The sequence below is a fragment of the Homo sapiens genome, chromosome 15, assembly GCF_000001405.40.
Source record: "Homo sapiens chromosome 15, GRCh38.p14 Primary Assembly".
Taxonomy (NCBI): Eukaryota; Metazoa; Chordata; class Mammalia; order Primates; family Hominidae; genus Homo; species Homo sapiens.
The window spans coordinates 69,967,050-69,985,690 of record NC_000015.10 but is presented as its reverse complement, the minus strand read 5'-3'; the positions used below and the strand labels follow the sequence as shown (position 1 = coordinate 69,985,690).

The following is an 18,641-nucleotide window of genomic DNA, read 5'->3' as shown; positions in this document are numbered from 1 at the left end:
TTTCTGACTTTTTTCAATTTTATATATCATCTATTGGCTTCACATATTAGAATTTAGCTTACACACACATGCGCACACACTCTTCTCCCCTACCTTCTCAATATAGTTCTATCACAAGCTTTGGTAACATCAATATTTGGTGTTTATGCCATTATGACAAGTTGAAGATGGTTTGCAGCTGAATCACGCAATGTATTATAATTACATTTCCTTTCTTTTACAATTTCAATTTTTCCTGCAGCTAATAATTGCCTTTTATCAGGAATTTCTCTCCACATTCTTCAGAGGAATTGTCAAGCTCTTCTAAATATGACTAAAGGCCAGGTGCGGTGGCTCACGCCTGTAATCCCAGCACTTTGGGAGGCCGAGGCGGGTGGATCACGAGGTCAGGAGATCGAGACCATCTTGGCTAACACAGTGAAAACCCGTCTCTACTAAAAATACAAAAAATTAGCCGGGTGTGGAGGCACGTGCCTGTAGTCCCAGCTACTTGAGAGGCAGAGGCAGGAGAATTGCTTGAACCCTGGAGGTGGAGGTTGCAGTGAGCTGAGATTGCGCCACTGCACTCCAGCCTGGGTGACAGAGCAAGACTCTGTCTCAAAAAAAAAAAATATATATATATATATATATGCACACATATATATAAAGACATTAGAGAGTGGGCCAGTCTTGTTTTTTTCTATGGAGACATCCCTTATAGAGCTCTTGATCTTCTGCTCCAATCTGGACTGGTGCTCTTCGAGTCCACTGTATGCACAGCTATCACCGTAGGTCTCCCTCCAGCATCATCCTGGCAGTTTTTGTTTGTTTATTTTGAGGGCCTCTCTCCTGCGTTTGAGTTCCCATTTCTTGGATGCCATCTTTCCTCTCTCTTGGTTTACTCTGTTACTGTGGTTGAACACACTTTCCCACCAAATCTACATTTTCCGCTTCTCCCAGCACCACTGCCTTCAGGAGTGCCTGGTGTTTCCAACTCCGGAGACTTTCTAGAATTTTGATGCGTAAATTGGCTTGCTTCTTCTAGTTTAGCCCTTACTGGTACTTGTAGAGAGACAAAGCTGAAATGGAAGTCATTCATCTGTTGTCCCTCTGTTTCTTATTTCCCAAAATTTTCTTAAAACCTCATTTGCCATCTTCTCTTTTATTCTCCCAATCTCTTTTTGGAGTTTATCTTTCTTTAAACTTCCTGACTATAATTTAAGTAAAAGTTTTGAGAGAAAGCAGAGATGAGCTGGAAGTCCAATTGATTTATTTTAAAAATGTTTAATAAGTGTAATAATTGATTCTTTAGGTCATATATTTTCTCTGAATGGGGAAAATGTATCTTAGCCTTAATTTAAAATTCAGAAGCCAACAAATAGCTTTTTCTCTCCAAGTACTTTTTGGCTACATTTTCTTAGAAATTTATACTTGGGATGGAAGACAGTCAGGGACACAACTACTCACGGTCAACTATCAGATGAAAATAAGTGGACTAACCGTATGTTACCTATTGCCACCATAACACTGCATTCCAAACAACCACACAACCTCAAAGGCACATAATAACTGTCTATGGCTTGCATGTGCGGGCTCAGCTGCAGGTAGACCAGCAGCTTTGCTCCTCTAGGCTGGGTTCTTGAACATGCCTGGGGTTGGCTGGCTTTTGGCCGAGCTAGTGTGGCTCCACCTGGGCAGCAGGGTGATGGATTCTGCTCCTCATCCTCAGCAGCCTACCTTGGGCAGCTTCTCATGCCGGTTATAGAGGAAAAAGTCCCTGAGGCTCGCGCTGGAAAATGACTCACTGTCATGTCATTTCTGCAACATTCTATTGGCCTAATCCAGACTTAAGGGTGGGGAAGTAGTCTCCCCCTCTTTAGTGAGAGGAACTGCAAAGTCCTGGGGCAATGGCTGTGGATATGGGGTGGATGTGTGCAAACTGTCTGGGCCATTCAAGCAGTCAACCTACTATACTAAGATCAAGACTTCTTCAAATGCAGCCTGCCATAGCAGAGGAAAAGGTTGCCCTTAAAATCTGGCTTCTTTATTAACTTTTGCCTGTATTGGGGCACTGCTGAAATAGTACAATACACGGTAAAAGCCTGTGGGGACCGTGTAAACTGACAGCTCTAACCTTCACCCTGTCTGCTGATCCTAAGCTCATAAAGGGCATTCCTTGGGATGTTAAAAAAGCTAGATGGTTGACTGGCTTACAAGAAAACCTGCCAGGTCCTCTCTGTTGGGAAGCCTCTCCAGGTTTTTCTTGAAGTCTCTACTCTGTGGAGCCAGACCCTGCCTTTTGTTCCTGGACCTAAACTGGGGGTCCCAGAGCTCTGCTAGGCAAGGGCAGGCAGCTTGTCTGGTCATCACTTTCCTGGTAAGCAACTAGAAGAGCTTGCTTTCCCTCTCCTGTTTACCTCCTTCAATTATCCTTGGGTCACTTTAACCCAAAGGAGTGACTCTAGGGGTAAGCATTTCAGGTTGGGCTTGTGCAGCCGTTCCTGGTCCCCAAACCCCATCTCCTGTCCCACTCTCAACCAAACACTTGGGCAGCTTTTCGTTATTTCAGACTTAGTATTTGTCTTTCCCAAGTGGAGCTGAGTGGTATTTGAAATGGAACCAGTGTCTTGCCTTGACTGCAACGGTGGAGTGGGGATGATATGAGAGTCTCCCTCCTAGGGGTGCTCCAAGGTTTAGAGGAGCTGGTGCTCACTGTAAGCTCTTGAGAAATCCGACTTCTACTGTATTCCTATAGCTGTCAACTGACCTGTCTCCCTGCTTCCTCGCTTTCAAAGGAGGCTGGCTCACATAAATTCGTCTTTTGTCCCTGGTGTTTGGCTCAGGCTGTCCCACCCTGCCTCTGCTCCTCAGAGTTGACTCCAGCCTGACACACCTCTCCAGAGTCTTAGCTGCCTCCAGCCCTCTCCCTCCCATCTGTGGGGTCACCCCAACACCTAGGAGGGGAAGTGCCCTGCTCATTCCCAGAGGGGCTCCTGTGAGCATAGCCCTGAGCAGGCTTTGACCCCTCCATGGAAAGGAAGGGGCTGACTACCTGCTGGGAATTCTATTTCAGGCTCGACCCCAGGGCTGGTCCTCGGAAAGTTTGCTCTCCTTGAAGTCTCTTCCCAATTCAGGGAAGGAAGACTTGGAAGTTATGCTTCTCTCAGACAAGTACATTTGTTAAGAAAGATATGGATGAGGAAAGGGTCATTGTTCTTTGAAAACAGGAATAAGTGAGGCAGGCTCTCAGCAGCCACATCTGTGCCAGACCTAGAGGGGGGAAATGCCACTCTGGAAAATGCAGAGCCCTGCTGGTCTGAGTGCCGTGGCTCTGGGGTAGCGAGGACTCCTCCCTGGCAAGCACCTCCTCCCTGGGGAGCACCTCCTCCCTGGTGAGCACCCCCTCCCTGGTGAGCAACCCCTCCCTGGTTAGCACCTCCTCCCTGGGGAGCACCTCCTCCATGGTGAGCACCCCCTCCCTGGTGAGCACCCTCTCCCTGGTGATCACCTCCTCCCTGGGGAGCACCTCCTCCCTGGAGAGCACCTCCTCCCTTGCAAACACCTCCTTCCCTCCAGGCCAGGTTCCTTCCCCATAAAATGAGAGCTAGCACCAGATCATTGCTTCTTAACCCAAAGAAGACTGCAGACCCCTAAAATGCCTGTGATCTTTACTGGAGACACAGGGTAAAGGAAAAGGAGAGGGTTTCTGGCAGGCCTGGGTTCAGGGAGCAGCCAGGAGCAACCATTTTGGGGCCAGAATGTGAGGGAGGCACAGCAGGGCAAAGGGGCCTGTGGGCAGGTGGGCAGGATGGGCCAGTGGCCCAGACACCTGCAGAGGCCATCCAGTTCTAGATTTTATGACTTTATCTTTCAATCCATTTAATGTTTGCTTTTATTATTATCAATAACACGAATAAGAGCTATGATATATTAAACACTTAATAGGTGCCAAGCAGAATGTTAAGCACATTGTACCCGCTGCCTCATTTTACTATCATGCCTTCTCCATGAAGGCATGATTCATATTTCTATTTTATAGCTGAGTAGATAGGTTAGGTAATTTACCCAGCATCAACCCTGACTAGTAGTCCCAACAAAGCTGGGAATCAAACCCAGGACTTACCTAGGGCCAAAGTATTTTACCTGGTGGGATTTCTATGAGCCAGGCCTGGGCTGGGCAGCCTGGAACACAGAGAAAAGGGAACACTCCCCTACAGCTGTGGAGGCTGAAACTCAAGACCTGTTCTAAATGTCACAATGAGGTAGCAATAGAGGACTATGGGAGTTTCAAGGGCTTGGGGACAATTCAGAGGCTTCCTGGAGGAGAGGGCATTTAAGCTGGGCCCTAAGGGAGAAGAATTTCAAGGGTGGAGGGAAATTCTAGGCAAAGGCACAGCTTTTGTGGAAAGCTAGTAGGTGTGAAGGTTGCAGAGCATGGGCATGGTTTGACCACATGTGGTTTACTCTTTTTTTATTTTTATTTTTTAATAGAGACTGGGTCTCGCCCTGTTGCCCAGGCTGGTCTTGAACTTCATATATGTGGCTCATGGCATATTTTGGTTGGAACATCGTGTGCAGAGGATACCAATGGGAAACAGCCTGGAAAGTTAGACTGAGGCCATAGCGATGGCAGCCTTGAATGCCAGGATAAGGAGCTAGGCAAAAGACAATGGGAAGGGGACAGGAGACTAGAGAATTTACTACTCAATTCTGTGCTGTAGAAGAAGTGAAAAAACAGATACCGACAGCCCTAAACCTCAGGGAGTACAAACACAGCTGAGAAAACTTTAGAGAAAACCTAAACATATCGTGAAGTTGCTTGTGTGTGTGTATGTGTGTGTGTGAATGACTCCATCTGAGAGATTTGAGCAAAGTCCATGAGATGGCTGGGAAGGTAAATGACCAATTCCTTTCTAACTTCAGATTTCCTGTTTGCAAAACCTCACCAACATATCTAGAAAACCTAGAAAACATTAGGCTTCTCAGCCTGCACAGAGCAGCTTACAATGTTTATTCATGAATGAAGAGTTGGGTGCCCTGTTGTTCCTGGGTGGAGGGGAGACAGTTCATCTCCAAATGGCTCAGCCTTGGGCTCCACTGACTACACATTCTCTTTGTTTGTAGTAACAGCCATGCACTCTGTGCATATGCATGGTATCACCTGCAGATGTCCCAGTTCCTGACGTCACCCTGGCTGCAGAGCCAGCCTCAGGCCGAGCTGTGCAACCAGGGCAGAGGGAGGAAGGGGCGCTGCTGACCTGGACAGGGCTGAGTTCCAGTCCGCTTCCGTCACCACACTCCCACTGTTGGCCTTGGACAAGCCCCCATCTCTCTGCAGCAGCCCCTTCATTCCTACCTCCTTGAGGGGCCTAAACTGGATCATCACTTCTGGAAATAGCCATTCTTGTCCCACCTTTGAAGGTGTCATTTCTCAGCACCCCAGACTATTAGTCAGGGAATGTTTTCTTTGAATTGACTCACTTTTAAAATACACCATTTATGTCAACTTACCATTTCTGTACATGATGCACCATTTGCTATAAAGGGACATTGAAGTTAAAACCCATGAAAATAGTAAATGTTCACTCTTGTACCACCTAAAGTCAGGGTACATGCCTGCCATTGCATGAGTGCACACCCCCAGGGGAAACCTGCGTCCTGGAGCCAGGCGGCTTCTCAAGTATGACTGTGCGCCGGAAACACCTGGAGACCTTGCAAAAATGCAAATTCAAATTCAGTAGGTCTGGGTGGGGTCTGAGATTCTCTGTTTCTGACAAGGTCCCAGGAGATGCCGATGCTGCTGGTCCACAGACCCTACTTGGTGTAACAAGGTCACATGGGTTGTCCAGCTCCCTATCGTGGGGGCAGGGCAAGAATGTCAACAGAAACACAGCACCAAGTCCTTCTGAGAACACGGGACGTGAAACACAAAGACCATGTCTAAAGATTCAAGCAAAGGCTTCATATCAGAGGAAAACTCAGAGAGCTATTTCACCTTTTCTCCCAAATATACATTTACTTTATATTTACTTTATGCACTTAGAACTTTCGGCATCTCTGTTTACTGCTTCACATACCTCCCCACCTCTTCCCTAATGCAAAGACCTGAATCTGGAAAGCCACATCTGTTGGGAGCTTCGTCAGAAATCATGCTGGCCATGCTTGCAGGCTGGGTCCAGCTCTTGCTGGGAGGTGGAGGCCAGGGCTCTGCATAATGGCATCTTCGGGGCTTTCCCTTCTCTGACCTCCTGCCATGCTCAGACAGAACGACACGCCATCTGCTGACTCACCGTGGCTTCATGCATTCATGTCCTGTTTTCCCAGGTGGTCACAGCTCTAGGAGGAGACAGTAAGGGGTGACTGGAAGGGGAGGGGAGTGAGATTGCCCCTCTGGGACCCACACACACTGAGGACATGATGGGCTCTTGATAAAATGTCACATGAGCCCAGGACAGTTAGAGAGGTTGGCTTTATAAGTGGTACATTATTTATGATGGCTTGAATGGGTCACCCTTATGCCCATTTTCTGGAGGGAAAAACTGGCTCCAGATAATGCAAAGTCATGCCCCTATGGCGTCAGTTGCAGGGCTCAGAAGTCCTCTCTTCCAACCCAGTTGCTGGCAGGTCATGACCACAGGCCACCCAGCCATTCCTAGCCTCCCTGGTAGAATTCAAGGCTGCCTGTATTGTGCATCTGCTGTGTCCATGGCACTCAGGGAGGATAGTAAAGGCAGGGCCAGAGGGGAATGAGGGGGACTTGCTGGGGAGCATGATGGTCACGTGCTAAGCAGAGGCCTGACCTGAGACCTCAGGGTGGCATTCCTTTGGGTACTACAAGGGCTGGAAAAGGCCTCTCCCCTGCTTCAAGCCCAGCCCAGCAGGTAGGTGGCCGAGCCAGGCCCACATGCTGATCTCTGCTCTCTGACTGGTGCAGTTTCCTTTGTGTTAGATCATCAATTCCTCAGCCTTCTGTGGCTTCTGTGATTTCCAAAGAGCTTGCCCTGATGCTGAAGCCGGCCTGGACTGGGCATCAAGAGGGTTTCAGCCTGATAGCCAATGGCCGGCCGCATGACAGCGAGAAATTGGCTTCTCTCTCTGGGCCGTGGTGATCTTCAAAGTTTCTTACAGCACTAGAATTCTGCTCTTTCTTTGCATTACAAATGGAATACATACTTGTGAACATTTTCAACAATATAGAAATGTAGAAAGTAAATATAAACAAACAAAAAATGAAGTCATCATCTTCTTATTGCTGCTAGAGGAAGCCATTGTGAATAGTTTGATGTGTTTCCTTCCAAATGATTTTTTCTCTACGTATAAACATAAATAAGCATATGTAGGTTTATTGATCATCTTAAAATTTATTTTTTTCACTTAAAATACTTTCCTGTGATCTTCCTGTGCCATCATATATAAATCTACTTTATTATTTTGAAGTAATATATCTTGGACATTTTTGCATCAGTAGATCCTTTTCAATGATAAATAGCATTTTGTATCATGGATATGCATAATTTCTTTGGGCCTTTATATTATTTCCATTTTTTTTGCTATTATAAACAATGCTGAAATAAACATCTTTTTACATGCATTCTTACTCACATGTGAATATGTTTCTTTAACATGAATTCCTGGAAGTAGAACTGCCAGATAAAAGAACACACACATCCAAAATTTTGAAAGATGCTGTCAAAATCACCCTCCCAAAATACCAGTTGTCTTTCCTCTCTACAGCTCGGGGAGCAACATGTTTGCATTCACCTTGATTGAGCCTGGATTAGGTGCATGTAATGTTCCTATTGCATATGAGACAACAGAAGCTTAGAGAGAACAAGGGAGTGTCTCGAGGTGCTACAGAAGTGGGGGCAGAGCTAGAATCAAAGCTCTGTGCCCCATACCCAAGTCTAGATGCTCTGCAGCTCTGACATGATGAGGTATAGTGGAAAGAGCTCTGACTTTGAGGTCCAAATGCTTGAGTTTGAAATCTTGCCATGCAACTTGCCATCTCTGTGACTTTGACCAAGATACTTAATCTCCCCAACCTCAGCTCCTTTCTCCATAAAACAGAGACAACAAACACTGTCAAAAAGGGATGTTGTGAGTGTTAAAGGAGAATTTATGTAAGGTTCTGGCTCCTAGGAGATGCTCTCTAAAATATTCTCTTTTCTGAGGAGTTGGGGACCTGGGAATTCTACTGTACTCTGGAGCTCTTCTGCCTTCACCCAGGAAGGTAACTAGGGGTTTATTGCCCAGCCGTGCACAACTCAAAAAATTATTACTGAAGATTGTCAAAAAGGCTTACAATTCAGGAGGGTTTTTGTTCATTTAGAAGCAAAAAAATTAGTTTTGTGGTTCAGCAAGATCTCGAATTGTGCCTCTGAATGTTGTGAAGGAGGGTTCGAAGAGACTTTCAACTGCTCCTGATACAATTATGAAAGTGGTTTTGGCAGAAGCCAAGTGGACTCTTAGTTTAAAACAGCTCTAGGGGTAAAGTCATTTCTCTGCAGGTTCAACAGAGGGTCATCCCATTATTTGCAGTGTTATAGTGCTTTGGGGATGCAGGAGATTTGGAGAAGTGGTAAATTGTTATAAAAAATGGCTACAATCATTCTCCTACCTGTGCCCAGTGCCTCCAACACTGGCTCTAGGCTTATCCATGCAATTTCCTTTGGACAACAGAACATTAGAAAATGTGATGTAGACTTATCAGAAGAACCTGAGTATTGGAGCTTGCCTTCTATTGCAGGCTTGGAACCCTGTGTCCACCATTCAAATTAGCTTGAGCTAATGTGATGGAAAGACTGCATAAAGGATAACTGAGGTGCCCCAATCAACAGATTATCAATTACCAGACATATGAGTGAGGCCATCCTAGATCACCCAGCCCCAGCCAAACCACCAGCTGACTACAGATCAGAAGGATTTGCCCAGACCAAAATGGTCCAGGTGACCCATATAATTATAAGAATTGATAATTTTAAAAAACTTTAAGCCACTATGTTTTGGGGTGGTTTGTTATATAGGCAAAGCTAAATTGTAAAGATATTTATTGAATGAATGCCTCGATGAACCAACGAGTACCTCACATCAGGAGAATTAGCCTTGCCCCAGCTCATAAAGAACGGTTCAGAACCATGGACAGAGGCACAGGATGCGACAGTATTTGAGTCAAGCTACGGATATGACAGGCCCTGGGGTAAGAATGAAAACAGTAGCTCGGGGTACAGGATAAGACAGATGTGTAAAGGAAGATGCCCCTGATATGGTGCTAGTGAGTCTTGCCAGGCACCTATTAACTCAGGAAGCCCTCAGTCCCAGACAGACAGGACGGCTGGCCACCCTATGAGGAAGACGAAATGCTACACTCCTGTTCCAGAGCCTGATCCCTAGCTGTTTCTCCTACATACTATGTGATGACAGGCATTGTGAAGGAGCATGCAGAGGGGTGGTTCCATGCCCACCAGACAAACCAGGACGGTTGGCTGGTCACCTGATTCCCCAAGTTTATGCAACTAGAGGGAAGTAGGTAGAGGGCATGGGGAGGCAGGGGGCTCAGTTGCTGGCTGCCTGGCCAAGATTCACTGGGAAATGATTTTGGCTCAGTTTTCTAACTACCTCTCCTCCAATTCCTGCACACAACCTGGCTTTCCCTTATTTCCCTGGAGAAAGTCAGGCTTTGTGTCAAGGGAATCTGGAGCTCATAATTTCATAACAATAATGTCTTGGTTTTAGACAGTATTTAGACTGTGATAGGTCCTTTTATGCCTACATAGTATATAACTGGGCTTGATCTTCATAACCCTTTTTGAGAAAAGCAGAGAATCCAGGTGCATTCTCACTGTCCAGGGTACCCACTAGCATCTTCTTCCTTTTTGTCTTCTAAGATAGGGGAAGGCAGCCCAAACAGCACCCAGACCAAGAGCCTGGATCAGGGATCCTGCTGCCTGAGACTTTCTAACTAGGTAAGTTCTCTTATGGTTCAACATTCGGGAACATGAAATGGACTCTCTCACCCTTATGTTCAAACGAGACAACTGGACTCCAGTCGCTGAACCCCTATAAGCTCTGAATTTCCAGGAGTCTCTGAAGGCTGGGGAGACCTGGGTCTTTTTTTGTTATATGGAGCCTATTCAAGGGGCCTCTTGGACCACTGCCTGCTTTCCTGGTATTTGTGCTGGTGGGGCTCCTCAAAGTGAGTGGCAGGGGTGATCATCCCTATTTGCTATACATTAAGGACAGCCTGGGTATGCAGGAAGGCACTCAGAAGGGGCTGCCCAGATGATTCACAGGCTCATGTTATCCACCCATGGACAGGGCAGGGGCATCAGGGCCCCAGGGCTGACTGCATCCTAGGCCTTGGATGCCTCCAGGACTCTCTCCCCATCTCTCTTCTGCTTTTCTCTGCATGCCAACTTTGATCTCTCAGGCCACCTTTCTCCATGAGGCTGGAGTCACAGCTCCTCAGCTTCACTCCTAGAAAGGAAGGGGCTATTTCATTTTGAGAGAAATCTCAGGGAAGGCCTCTTATTGGCCTGGCTGGGGCCACATGCCTGCTCCTGTAGTCAGGCAGGTAGGGATGCTGTGGTGGGAAGCTTCATTCAGAGCCGCCTGGTTGGAGCTGGAGGAAGAACAGTTCCCAGAAGGTGGGGAGTCATTGTCAGAAGGTGAGATGGAGAGCAGATAAAGCAAGTGACACTCACTGCAAACTTATCATTCCCACCTTTTGGGGTGAGGAACAAATGCAGGGGCCTCAAGCCTTCACCACATGGTCTGAGGTTTGATGACCAGGAAGCTGGGATTTGAGCCTGGACAATTCAACTGTGAAGCCTGTGGTCTTTCCAATATCACTTCTTGATGATGTTCCATTCCCATACAGCAGCAATGGGGTGAACAACTGATTCCTTTGGGACCAGACATAGCCCTGGGCAGCTGTGGGATAAATATCTGGGTCTCAGGGCTATCTTTGTAAGGCAGTAGTATTCTCCTGGGAGAGTCCCGGGCTGGGGATCAGCAGACCTGGTGCATTTATCTTAATTCTCCACTGCTTTCCTGTGTGACCTTGAGAAAGTCACTTTCCTTCTCTGGGTTTTAGCATTTATCTGCCAAATGGCGATGATCATCCCTGAGTCCCTCCCATAGGCATTGAGTGGAACTAATGAGATAATTCCGTGAATGAGCTTTCGAAAGCTGAAAAGCCCACACAGATGTGAGGATTATTCTTATGATCCTGGGCCCCATAGGATTAGCTTAAATGTATGGCAACAGGAGGGATGGGGGCTAACAGAAACGTGCAGATGTCTAGCAGCCTTGCTCAAATAATGCAATACAACCTGCTTTGCAGGGTGGCCTCCTGATTTATTTATTTATGTCAGACAGCTCATGCTGGGCTTCCTGAATCTTCTTTGGACAGCCTTTCACCTCTGTCCCTGCTGCCCTGGGTCGGGGGGTCATGGGTTCCTTTTCTGATAGCGTGTAAAGCTGGCCACATGGTTCTGGTTTTCTCTTCTTTTCTTTCTCCTGCAGGCCAAGAAATGAGGACACTGAACTACTTCTTCTTGAGATGACGGAATCTTGCAAGTTTATTTATTGTTTCCTGGGGGAGGAGACACAGTCTGTTGGAACTGGAAGTGATGAGAGATTGCCATCCAATTCCATAGGAGGCCAATGAGAGGTTACATGAAGGGAGGACTCTACTGGTAGACAGTCCTAGAAACCCCAGGCTAAAGTGAAACTCAGTAATTTTGTTTTTAAACTGCAGGTCCTCTCAGCGCATTCAATATTTTGCTTGTTATCAATAAGGGGATGTAGCAGCCACATTTCCCAATTTTTTTGGCCATTTTTTTCCTCTGACAGCATTTTTAGGACCCGTGTCCCCCTGAACACATGGAGGGATGGAGCAATTGAATGTCATGCCCTGATTTCACAGATGGGGGCAGGGAGGCTCAGCAAGGAAAGTCAGGTGGAGCAGAGACCCATTCCCTGCCCCTGCCTTGGGGCTCTTTTCGAAACTCTGCCCTGCTCACATCTGCCCCAAGACACTCTGCCTCCATGAAAGTGCAGGTTATTTTACAGTTTGGAGGTGACACTGGACCCCTTGGAAATCAGAGAATGTGCACTTTCTTGGCAAAATATCCAAGGTAAGGGAGAGTATAAATGTGAATGAGAATGCTGAGTGTCGGAAGACATTTGTTTTTTGTTTACATCTAGGACCAGACCAGAGGGAGTGAGGTCTATCTATCCCACGAAGAAACTGAGATGCAGCTTATGAAATAGAGGCTGACAATGGCTCACCCACCTCCTTTGTAAGAGCCTGGTGTGTGCTACAGGAGCATGGCCCATATACGTGTCAGGTTGAAGGACAACTCAGGAGCTGTCCAAGGTATGTGTTCTGAGTCCCAGATGAGTCATACCTGGTGGCGAGGGTGCTGTGGTTTGCAGGAGGAAGGGTGAATATAATTCGAGTTATCATTATGAAATACCTGCTGGTCCTCAGGGACTGTTCTAGCAGCTTTGCACATATTCACTCATCTAGTTCTCACATCAGCTCTGTAATATAGGTGCTGTTGCTGTCACTGCAATATTACAGAGGAGGGCAACAAGCCCTCTTTAACCAACAAAAAAAGGTTAAAGAGCTTGTCCAAGGCCATAGGACCCATAAACAGTAGAGCCAGGCTGGATTTCACCCCAGCAGGCTGACTGTGGAACCCACACTTTTAAGCCACAATGCTGTACCACTGCTAGGTAGTATTAGAGAGGTTTGGAAAATGCTGCTTTGATTTGCTCTGACATCCATAGAGATGCTCGTAAGAGCAGAATATTAGAGCTGGAAAAAGCTTCATCAGTCATTCAGTCTACTCCATTATAACTCATGTAGGAGAGGCCAGGTAGGGCAACAGACTGGCCAAGGTCAACAACTTTCAGTCACACTAGACTCAATGAAATTGAACTTCCTGACAACGATGGGAATAGCAAGTGTCTCCCTGCCCTGAGTCAAACTCCAACTATGTTGTCTCACTCCCTCCTTCACCTCCAGGCTCAACTTGGCCCCACTTGCCCCATCTGGCAGCCTGGACCGAGCATTGTTCATTGAGTCCCACACCCACATGGCCCCAGAGTCAAACCGCCTTTCATGCTGAAGAATGGAACTGACACTCCCAGCAACATCTCCCCCAACCATGCCCATCTGTTAATCCAACTTAAAAAGAAGGAAAAAAAAATGACAATGGAAATGGAAATACTTTAAAACATTGTGTGTGTTTTGTGTGTGTGTGTGTGTGATCAAATCTCTTTCCCTGAAATATGACAAAGCATTGCCATCCCTTCTCCAATATCCTCTATCCATTAATGGTCTTTCTGATTCAATAAACAGGATTTCAGGCTCTGCCCCCTCCCTCTTTTCCACCCCTACTCCAGGAGAACATGGGCTGCTTCCAGTATAGCTCATATTAAGCTGTGCAGTTGATGGATCTTTAATCTTGCTGAACACATGTTGAGGAGAATAAAACCAATTTTGTTTAGGAAACCAAGTGCCACACTCAGCTGGAAATTAGCTCTTTGGGTAATCTTACCCCCTGTTTTGACCAAGCAGGCCAGGCAGGATTTCTCAGGTGGCTCTGGAAAGCCTCAGACTCCTTGGATCCAAGGAAGGAGAGAGAGCGAGTCCTCATTGAGGATCCCTGCCCCAAATCCTTTTGATTCTCCCCTTTAGTACAGAAAGCAGCTCCAATCCAGGCTGCTTATGGATCAAGGCTAATCTGGATGTAATTCCCTGCCCAGCTCGCTGCATCCTTAGCAACACATAAATACAGATTAAAGGGTTATATAAATGCAATTTTCTAATTAATCAGTGCAAATCCAGCTACTGTGGGGGACATAGATTTCAGTTTTTAAGTGAGAGGTTTTCTTCTTTGAGTTCACTTCACAAATGCAAGTTCTGTTCCTGTGATTCCTAGTGCTAATGGTCACTGGGTGATCAAGAGGTTTGACAATTCCCAAAAATGTGCCTGTCATGGCCCCAAGTCCTTGAGTTCTCAGCAGGAGATTTTGAGCCATGGACAATGGAAAGAATCTGAGCTTAGGGGCAGTCAGTTCAGCTTTGATCCTGGATGTGTGGCCTAGGACATGTTACCTAACCTCTCTGGGCCCCAATTTCCTCATTCTTAATAAGATGATGAGACCTGTGTCCTGGGGTTACTGTGAAGATTAAATGCCATGTTTGAAAGTGCATAGCGTGGCATCTGGTGCATTGGTGGCTGTTATTGTTGTTTGCAATTGAGGACAAAGATTCTTGAGGGTTCAGTGCAGGAAGAGATAGTCAATAATCTCAGGCCTGAGTCTCCTCCTTTCTTCTGACTTGTGTATTAGTATTTGCCTTGTATAGAGAACAAGGTTCACGAATCCAGGAGGGGTGTGGTCTCCTTGGATTTTTCAGCCCTCCTTTCCTCATCCCACCAACCTACACATACGCACACTCACTCTCTTACATTGGATATATTATCACAAAAGTGCACATTCTGTGATTTCCAAGGGTCCCAGTGGAACCTCCAAGCTGTAAAACATGGAGTTTGGAGTCATGGAGGCAGAGGGAGTTTCTTGGTGCAGATGTGAGCAGGGTGGTGCCTTGAAAAGAACCCTGGGGCAGGGACAAGGGAACGGGTCTGAATGAGGATAACTCAAGTGTTGGCCATGCAAAGGGTCAGGGAGAAAACACGTTTTATAACAACATCCATAAGGATGACAATAATAACAATAATTGTGGTGATAGGAATGGGGATGAGGATGGGCCAGGCATGCTGTGGACTTTGTCTCACTGTATTCTTAATGACAAACCTATGATGTGGATATACCAATTCTATCCCCATTTTTAAAATGAGGAAACTAAGAATTGAAACATTGAATGGCCTGCCTTACACTGCAGAGCTTCCCTTAGATTGACTGCCTTTTTCCTCCCTCTCTTCATTCCTCTAATGCTCTTCCCCCTGGTGTGTGTGTGTGTGTGTGTGTGTGTGTGTACCTCCTACTCAAGTCCCCATGCATGCAAACACACACATCCCCCAAGCATTCATGCCGCCACATGCATACTGGCAGGAATATCACACGTGTGCTTTGGTCCATCAATGCCCAGCATGCCCAGCCAGTGCCTGCTCATAGTGGAAAACCTTCCTGAGGATAAGCCGCAGAAAGGAGAAGGCTAACAGAGAAGAGAGAAAAAAGGCTAAGTTTGAGAATGTTTTCCAAGCTGGATGATTTTAGTTATTTCAAGCCCAGATCTTGTTACCACCAATGAAGTCAAGCAGGGCCGCAGGTTGGTGGGCCCTGAAGACCTGCTTTATGGAGTGACTCGGCAAGCCCAGCATTTCTTGCAGACACAGGGACCCCTACACGAATCAGAAAGCTGCTTTTCTCTCAATCGTTCTCCAACTTTTCTAAGCCTAGACTGCGACTGCTGACCTCATCTATGACCTCTTCATCTGTGCCCTTGGGCAATCCCCGGGCATCTCTGGTCCTCAATTTTCTTATCTGAAAAATGGGAAAAGAACTAAACCTTGCTTATCCATCTTGAAGGGTTATCATGAGGTTCCAAGGAGAACATACAAGAGAAATTGCTTTCAAACAGGTGGGATGGGTAGGGGTGGTGGGGAGGGGAAAGAGGAAAGGGCTTACAGAGAATGAGTGCTTTTGAAAACGAAGGTTAGGCAAATTCAAGTTCTCTGCCTTGTTTGTGACTCTCTGTCACATTAGAAATGCTAGGGCTGGGACTGCCCAAGCAGCCTGGGAAGCTCCGAGTGCTGTCACTTTAAAAGTAAAGTGAAGTGTTCATTAGCTGGGCTATTTTTTCAGGTGTGTTCTAATTGTACTAATTAACTCTAAGGTAGATTTTAGCACTCCAGCCTCCATCGCTGCCTTCAAATGCCAAAACAAATCTTGCCATAATTACCAGCAATCCTTTTCATTACCGGCTGCCTAATTATCCTATTAATAGCACATCCTAAGAGACAGTATTTGCTTGGCAGGCAAATATTTGTTTTTAAATGAGCAAACACAAAGACAAACTGCTCTGTTTGCAGAAGGATTCCAAAATGCAAAATGGTTTATATTTGTAGAAAAAATAATAATCCAAGTAAAACCAAATGCTTAATCTATTTGAAGCATTTGAACATTAAAATATGTGGTTTTTCCCCCTGGTTTCAGTCCTTCCTTGCCGGGAGGATTGGGTGCTGGAAGGGTTTTTAAGACTTTTCTGTCATATGGACTTGGATGTCTTATTGGGTTGGAGATAAAGTTGGTCAAAGAGGGAAAGATGAAGACAACTGACATGGAATAATGTTAGAGCCAGAAGGAAATGTGTGTAAACTTGAGGCCAGAGGTTTGATTCCCATACCTGGCTGATCATCAGAGTTACCCGGGAAGAGACTTGTCAAAATGCATCTTCCCAGGCCTGCTGGTTTCTTTCTTCCTTTCTTCCATATAGAAGTGTATTGTTCAAGAGAAAATAAATTTACCACCTCAGCTCACCCCCATCCATCCCCACTCCAGTCTTTTCCTGTTATTATTGCATAGATGCCTCTGAATATGCACAATTGCCTTTTCCTTTTTTGAAAACAAGAATGAGCCTGTAATCCCAGCTACTTGCGAGACTGAGGCAGGAGGACTGCTTGAGGCCAGGATTTCAAGACTAGCCTGGGCAACATAGCAAGACCCTGTCTCTAAAATATAAAAATTAAAAAATAAAACAAGAATGAAATCATACTATCTATTAGATTGAACAATTTGAAATTGCTGACATGCGAGTGCTTTATAACCTACCAAATGGCGATTTCACATGGTTCAATTTAAGATACTGTTCTGTTTTTGTTGACACATTAAAAAAAAAAATCTATAGAGTGTTATATTAGGTTGGTGAAAAGTAATTGCCATTACTTTTATGGCAAAAACCACAATTACGTTTGCCCCAACCTATATATGAAGGCGGCACCATAAGTGAACCACTCTCTACAGATGGCCCGTCCACTTCCGTCTCCTTTTCAGGTTTATGAACTGCAGAGCGCTGCTGCGACGCCGGCCTCTCTACCTCCCCACCTGGGTCTCCCTTCCAGTCTGAGTTCCTGTCCCATTTGCTCTGGGTGCCCTCCCCTGATTGTACCGACCTTTACTGATATCCTTGCATCTCTGAGCCTGTCATTCTCACCCCTGACAACGTTTTACCATTTAACTAGAGATTTTAAAATATTGTCAGTGTTGTCCACTATGTAACTACTCTGACTACCACTCCCACCTCAGAAACCCCCGTAGGCTCCTGAAAGCCTCCTGGGCACACAGTCCTCCCTGGGTGCTGAAAGCTCTCCACGCATGGCCCCTCTGGCATTCCAGCTTGGCTTCCTATTGTCTTGGTTGCTGCTGCTCTCTTCCCAGAATGCCTGTGACTGGCACACAGTCGGAGGTCAATTAGAGGCCCTTTTAGGAGCTGAGTGCACCCTCCGCTCATGTCAGCCTCTTTACAAAGATGGGACAAAGAATGTTGTCCCATGGTCCTTATAGGTCTCAGTTTCCTCATCTGTCAAATGCATTGACTTCGCAGCACTGCTATAAGGTTAAATAAAACCTCTATAGTACCTGTTGAACACCTGCCACTTAGTAGGGATTAAATGGTAGTTGTTATTACTATTAGAGCTGATTTTAATGGTGTTTTACAACTTGCAATTTGGCTGTTGGTTTGAGAGAGAGATTCTTTTTTTTTTTTTGAGACGGAGTCTCGCTCTGTCGCCAGGCTGGAGTGCAGTGGTGTGAAGGCTCACTGCAACCTCCGCCTCCCAGGTTCAAGCGATTATCCTGCCTCAGCCTCCCGAGTAGCTGGGACCACAGGCACGTGCCATCACGCCCGGCTAATTTTTGTATTTTTAGTAGAGACGGGCTTACACTATGTTGGCCAGGGTGGTCTCAATCTCTTGACCTTGTGATCTACCTGCCTCGGCCTCCCAAAATGCTGCGATTACAGATGTGAGCCACCACACCTGGCTGAGAGAGATATTCTTTACCATGTTAGAAATATATTTTTATACATTTTTTCTTAATTTTTTGAGATTTGAGTTCAGAATATGTTTAAATTCATTGAATAATTGTTATCAAACATAAGTTAATTAAAATATTTTAGGCCAGGGCGGGCAGATCACTTGAGCCCAGGAGTTTGAGACCAGCCTGGGCAATATAGTGAGACTTTATCTCTACAAAACATAAAAATAAAAATTGACATTGAAATGCCATATGACATCATTGGACTGCCTCAGAGTAAATGATTCCTATGTTCCTGAGGTCAACCCTAATAAACCAGCAGATTGTTCTCTTGGTAGATTGCTAAATGCAGTAGTTTGTATCATACCATGAATTTTTACATTTATATTTACTTTAAAAATCTGTTAATCTAATCAGAATTCAACAATCTAGTTTTTCTGTTATTTAAAAAAACATATATACCTTCTCTTTGAAGCATTTTTTCTTCCTTTTGCATTAATTTGATACTTGTATTTCAATATTTAATTGATTCTAATGTTTGTCCTTAGTAGTTTTGTACTGTTACATCTCCTTTCTTGAATCCTCATTTTTGATTCGTCTCTCTGATGACTGAAGCATGTCTTAAAATACTTTTTTTTGTAGGAGAGCTATGT

General features: G+C 45.6%; 1 long non-coding RNA gene across 1 annotated transcript in view, besides 2 other annotated features; it reads left to right on the top strand.

Moving 5' to 3' along the window:
- Positions 1-13,214, top strand: part of LOC101929129 (uncharacterized) — a 52,221-nt gene extending 39,007 nt beyond the window's left edge. Inside the window, exons 3-5 of the long non-coding RNA XR_001751593.2 lie at positions 9,864-9,941; positions 11,503-12,358; positions 13,013-13,214. This is a non-coding gene — a long non-coding RNA (uncharacterized LOC101929129). The remainder of the gene's footprint in view (positions 1-9,863; positions 9,942-11,502; positions 12,359-13,012) is intronic.
- Positions 5,377-5,436: an enhancer, noted in NCBI's record as "active region_9666". NCBI's record gives its function as "activates an Ori minimal core promoter by ATAC-STARR-seq in GM12878 lymphoblastoid cells {active_cell/tissue: GM12878}" and the evidence as "EXISTENCE:reporter gene assay evidence [ECO:0000049][PMID:35858748]".
- Positions 6,267-6,326: an enhancer, noted in NCBI's record as "active region_9665". NCBI's record gives its function as "activates an Ori minimal core promoter by ATAC-STARR-seq in GM12878 lymphoblastoid cells {active_cell/tissue: GM12878}" and the evidence as "EXISTENCE:reporter gene assay evidence [ECO:0000049][PMID:35858748]".
- Positions 13,215-18,641: the final 5,427 nt, after the last annotated feature.